Source organism: Homo sapiens, chromosome 3, assembly GCF_000001405.40.
Source record: "Homo sapiens chromosome 3, GRCh38.p14 Primary Assembly".
Taxonomy (NCBI): domain Eukaryota; kingdom Metazoa; phylum Chordata; class Mammalia; order Primates; family Hominidae; genus Homo; species Homo sapiens.
In genome coordinates, this window is record NC_000003.12 from 158,028,572 (window position 1) to 158,034,747 (window position 6,176).

The 6,176-nt window shown below is 39.0% G+C and overlaps 1 annotated feature.

Moving 5' to 3' along the window:
- Nucleotides 4,739–5,938: an enhancer, noted in NCBI's record as "CDK7 strongly-dependent group 2 enhancer chr3:157751099-157752298 (GRCh37/hg19 assembly coordinates)". NCBI's record gives its function as "activates an origin of replication core promoter dependent on BRD2, BRD4, P300/CBP, MED14 and CDK7 cofactors, with strong dependence on CDK7, by STARR-seq in HCT116 cells {active_cell/tissue: HCT116}" and the evidence as "EXISTENCE:reporter gene assay evidence [ECO:0000049][PMID:35650434]".

Here is a 6,176-nt window from a genome sequence, read left to right on the forward strand (position 1 = left end):
TTTCATAATGGTAACTCTATGTAATTTTCAACTACCAGCTAGCAGACCTGGGTTTGGGAATTTGCAATGGTGAATTTATAATGCCCCCATCTTGCAGCTAGTCTACTTACGAAACGCAAAATAATTTTTACATCGCTCTTTTTAAAACAACATGAAGAAATAAACAAATCCACTGGCAGGAAAAACAATTATGTAATTCATTCTAAGTCATTCTGTGTATAATTTTCAAAATATGTATTACTTCAAGTTATCAAGTTTTCAGCTCCTTATGAGCAAAAACCTGGGAATTGGTGGATCTGGAGATGCATTTCTTTAAAAAAATTGGGCATAATAAAATGAACTGAAATACTTTCATAAGAATTACACATTTATTTTAAATTAATTCATAGATGCTGACTTATTCATTTAAAATTGTAAAAACGTTTTTACTATTAGACCATCTTGACTAATTTAATTAGTTAAAGACTTCATGCCAGTTTAATGTGCCTGGAGGTTTTTGCATACTTCATTATAAAAATAGAGTTTAAAGATAAAGACCATTCCTTGATAATGTTAATAAAAATCATGTAAATGGATAGAACAGTCAATAGGGCTTTGTGATTACATTACACCTATATCAGAAAAAAGAATGCTATTAATCCTCAAAATATTCATACCTTAAAAGCTATTTAACATTATGTAAATGTGATAAGGACTCTCCAATTTATTTCACAGTGATTTGGGCAGGAGGCAGCCAGCAGGCAAGAAAGAACAAGACCATATTGATGCGAACAGTCATTTGATAATATAGAAAAAGGAGTGGAAGGAGAGAAGAAAAAGTACAAGGAGAAGCTGGGAAGGAAGAGGGAGGGAGGAGAAGGAAAACTAATGCTTCTCGAGCACATCTAATTTGGCAGACATTCTTTTAAATATCTTGATATGAATTACTATATTGAAGCTTCATGAGCTCCATGAAGCAGGTGCTGGCATTATCTCCATTGCACAGAGGAGGAAGCAAAATAGAGGCCAAAATTCTTTTAAGCAAGTAGTTTGATTAGGGGAAGAAGAAGAAGAAGAAGAAGGAGAAGGAGAAGGAGAAGGAGAAGGAGAAGGAGGAATAGCCAGATGGGCAAAATGATAGATAGTTCCCTTCTGGGAGGGAAAAAATGTATTTACTATACATGTTATCTACTTGGGTTCTCTACTTGTTTTCTATTCAGGGACTCTTACACTGAGATCAGTGAGAAAAATTTTCCTTTTCTAGAGAACAGGAATTTTTGACCACCACCAGGCAGGTAGCAGTCTACCAAACTGAGCCTCTGTGTGAAGTAGGAATAAGTGTCTCCTCCTGGAGAAAGAATCACAAAAAATGGCAACTCAGTGGATGAATTAGGAAAAGCACCTGCTCCAGTTGAATGACACAAACAAGTTTATACTTCCTCTGGGCTAAAGTCACCCAAGGCCAGGGCCTACCACCTAGCAAGTGGGAGTTTAGCCTCCACTGGCCCGGTGCTGCTGTGCAGAAAATAGCCTGCTCAAGTGGTCACATACTGAATCCTAGGACGAGATGGGCATATTGATTTTGTTAAAAGGCTTCAAACCTAACTCTAACACCTTGGGAGACTCACTTTCCATCTTTCTCAGCACTTCCTTGAACCTGAGATTCAGAAACACCTTTCAGGTCTCAACATATTCTGTTACTTGGCGCAGAATATCTTCCCTCACCTTGTAGGCCCTTGCCTACCTGGATAATCACTATTCAACTCAATTCAAATGCCACTTCTTCTGGGAAGCTGTCCCTAAAGTCAAAGTTAAGAAATAAAACAGACCAGACAGGAGACTACCATTGCCTAAAGGAAAAATCCAATAGCCAAAAATAGACAAATTTTAGTCTGAGAGTCAGACTGAAAACAAGAAATATTTTGGGTTTAATTCCTATTCTTTCCTCAATTGACTACAATTAAATGGTGAGGAAACCAGTGCTCATGTGCTCACACCGCAAATGTTCTTGCAATCCCTACTATTTCCAAATTAAAAGAGCTTTAAAGCCCAATCTAAGTGACCCTCAGTAAACTCCTTGAAGCCTCTGTTTCCTCAGTTTTAAAATGGGCATAATAATACCTACCTTAGCAAAGTGTTATGTAGCAAATGCTCTCTAAATGTTAGCCCCTTCCCTTCCCTTAGACTGTGAAAGATATGCTTACGTTTCCCCAACCCCACTAATCTATAAACTTCTAAAGCCAAAACCATGTCTTATTTACATAGATTCTCTTTGTATCTTTCTTCTCACTCCACCTCTACCTCATCACAATATCTAACACATAAACATTTGCTCAATAAATATTTGATAAATGCACACAAAGATGGCTTACAGTACCTGCCTGTAAGGACTTTAATAATTTATAGGAGAGATGCCAAAATTTCCCAAAGAAGCTGTGGTATGCAACAAAGGAAGAACTGATGCTTATCAGTTTTCTTTTCCTCATCTCTGATGTTTACTAATTTATTCATGTAACAAACGTTTTTAAAGTGTCTGTTTTTTTAAAGTGCATATGTCATGTGGAAAGCACTGTAGTTGGAGTTATGGGGAGAGGAGGGAAAAGTGCAGGGGACCCTTTCCCTTGAAGTCTAAATGAAGAAAAAAGAAATTTATCTGAATAATTAGAAGAGACCATTGACTATGATGATCACAATATAGAGAATCAACCCAAAATGCCAGAGCCATTCAAAAAGGAGAGTGATGATCTGTAAGGCAGCAGTGTGAGAGAACAAGCCTGTGGTTTTCCATGTCCTCATGGAAACCTGATAAGGCAAAAGAAAGCTCTAAATACTTTGTCAAGCATAAAGACAGGGAAGTAGGTGCCAAAGATGTTGGCTTTATTACTTTTATGGTTAGTACATATTGTACCATGATGCAAAGAAGATTAGAAGACATACACCACAATGCCAATAGGTATTAACTCAATGTGATCAGATTATAATTTTTTTCTAGCCGTGTATCTTTTTTTTGTCTTTTTAACATTTGTTCATTTACCATAGGTTAACCATTGGTTCTATAATTACAAGATAAAACCATTAGCCCTTCTTATTTATCTAATGTTCTTACATGCTACCAAATAATAATATAAATGAATATGGCATCTTTAATGCACTTTCCCTGTGCTTTTAAACATAAAGTTTCCCATAATTAAGTGGCATCCATTTCTTATTTCTCTTTGAATCATTTAAATTATGTATTTTTCATGAGAAAAGCATCCCTTATTCAATAAAGAGTGCTGAGAACACTGGCTAACCATATGCAGAAGACCGAAATTATCCCTACCTATCATACAGGTCTTTCTGCTGTTGGGAAGTTTCTTTCAGCAGAGGCACAGTTGCAGTGCTGGACTCAGCAGGAAAAGTCTGCAGCTCTACCCCAACAATCAGACAATTCTGGTGCTTGTGAAAGATCTTGGAAAATAGCACTTCTTTTGCCTTCGTCTACCACTGCAGACACAACTGGGGCTTCTCCCACAGGAGCTTGGCATGGGTACACCTATAGACAGCATTTCTGGAACACTTCAGGGTGACTGCATCCTCACAGAAAGAGCACCCTCCAGGTTCAGGCTTACATGAGAGATAGAGTTACAGTTCCTTTCTACTTGGAACATCAACATTCCTGCAGAGGAAAAGAGGTGGCTTTCTGATCTGAATAGCCAGCACACTGGGTCAGGATTATGTCTGGGAGGTGGATCACTTTCCTGCTTGCCTGGCAGGGGAGCTGAGGTGACTTCCACTCTTCCCCTGATAAGATCTCAGTGTGTTTTACTGAGAGGTCTCCCAGTCACCTCTGTCAAGGCTGGAACTTCTGCCTACCATCAGGTATTGCATTTATCTACCTGCTTCAGCCACAACTGGTTTCCACACAGCTACACCCCTATTGACCCAGAGTCAGAAATATTCAACTTAGTAAATAAAATACTGAGGGGGAAATAAATAAATAAGTGCATACCACAGGGGAATTAGATAAGTTTCAAGACACCTCTACCATACCAACCTTATAGGAGAAAGTGGACTTGCTCACATACCAAGCACATTGCTATTACAGCCAGCATCTGAGAAAGCCTCATAAAAAGACTGCCTATAACCAAGAACTCATACAGAGTCTTCACCCATGAAAGCACCAAGAACTGAATTAGGCTACAATAAACCATAAACATGAAAGTAATATCTTTAAAGGGGAAAAAAAGAAATTAAAAAAACAGTCAAATCAAAAATGAATTCAAGAATAATTATAAGAAATAGTCTACACAAATAAAAAGAAACCAGAAAAATAATTCTGATAATATGACAAAACAGGATTCTATAGTACCCCTAAAAAAACACAGTAGGTTTCCAGCAATGGATCCTAACCAAGATGAAATCTTTCAAATACCAGATAAATAATTCAAAAGTTTGACCAGGTGCAGTGGCTCACTCCTGTAATCTTAGCACTTTGGGAGGCTGAGATGGGAGGATCACTTGAGCTCAGGAGTTTAAGATTATCCTGGGCAACATAGTGAGAACTCATCTCTACATGAAGAAGAAGAAGAAAAAGAAGGGTGGGGGAGGAGGATGAAGGGGAGGGGGAGGTAGAGTAGGAAGTAGGAGGGGCAGGAGAAGAAGGAGGATGAGGAGAAAAGAAGGAGAAGGAGGAGGAGGGAAAGGAAGGAAGGAAAGAAAGAAAGAAAGAAAGAAAGAAAGAAAGAAAGAAAGAAAGAAAAGACATTGATTATTAAGCTCCACAAGGAGATACCAGAGAAAGGTGAAAACCAACAGAGAAATTTTAAAAACAATTCAGGATATGAATGAAAATTTTTCTAAAGAAATAGACATCTTAAAGGAAAATCAATCAAAACCTCTGGAAATAAAAAATACATTTAGGAAATTACAAAATGCCGTGGAAAATGTTAACAAAAAACTAGAACAGGTAGAAGAAAGAATCTCGGAGCTCAAAGACAACACAAGAAAAATTAACCCAATCAGACAAAAATAAAGAAAAAAGAATCAAAAAGAAATGAACAACATCTCTAAGAAATATGGGAATTCATAAAATGGCCAAACCTAAGAATAACTGGTGTTCCTGAGAGAGAAGAGAAAGCAAAAACTTTGGAAAACTCATTTGAGGGAATAATTGAGGAAAACTTCCCTGGCCTTGCTAGAGATCTAGATATCCAAATACAAAAAGTTCAAAGGAATCGTGGAAGAGTCATGGCAAAGAGGACGTCACCAAGGCATTTAGTCATCAGGCTATTCCTTTCTACTTGGAACATCAACATTCCTGCAGATGAAAAGAGGTGACTTTTCAGAAAAAAATTCTAAAAGCAGTGAGACAAAAGTATCAGGTAACCTATAAAGGAAAACCTAACATCAGACCTCTCAGCAGAAACCTTACAAGCTAGAAAGGATTGGGCTTCTATCTTTAGCCTCATTAAACAGAATAACTGTCATCCAATAATTTTGTTTCCAGCAAAACTAATTTCATAAATGAAGGAGTAATAAAGTCATTTTCAGGCAAATAAATGCTAAGGAAATTTGTCACTGCCACTCCAGCCCTACAAGAAATGCTAAAATGGGGGTTTTCTCCAAGATGGCCGAAAAGGAACAGCTACAGTCTACAGCTCCCAGTGTGAGCAATGCAGAAGACAGGTGATTTCTGCATTTCCAACTGAGGTACCAGGTTCATCTCACTGGGGCTTGTCAGACAGTGGGTGCAGAACTGTGGGTGCAGTGCACCGAGCATGAGCCAAAGCAGTGCGAGGCATCACCTCACCCAGGAAGTGCAAGGGATCAGGGAATTCTCTTTCATAGCCAAGTAAAGCTGTGACAGACGGCACCTGGAAAATCGAGTCACTCCCACCCTAATACTGCACTTTTCCAATGGTCTAAGCAAACGGCACACCAGGAGATTATATCCCGCGCATGGCTCAGAGGGTCCAACGCCCACGGAGCCTCGCTCATTGCTAGCACAACACTCTGAGATTGAACTGCAAGGCGGCATCAAGGCTAGGGGATGGGCCCCTGCCATTGCTGAGGCTTGAGTAGGTAAACAAAGCAGCCAGGAAGCTCAAACTGGGTGGAGCCCACTGCAGCTCAAGGAGGCCTGCCTGCCTCTATAGACTCCATATCTGCGGGAAGGGCATAGCCAAACAAAAGGCAGCAGAAACCTCTGCAGACTT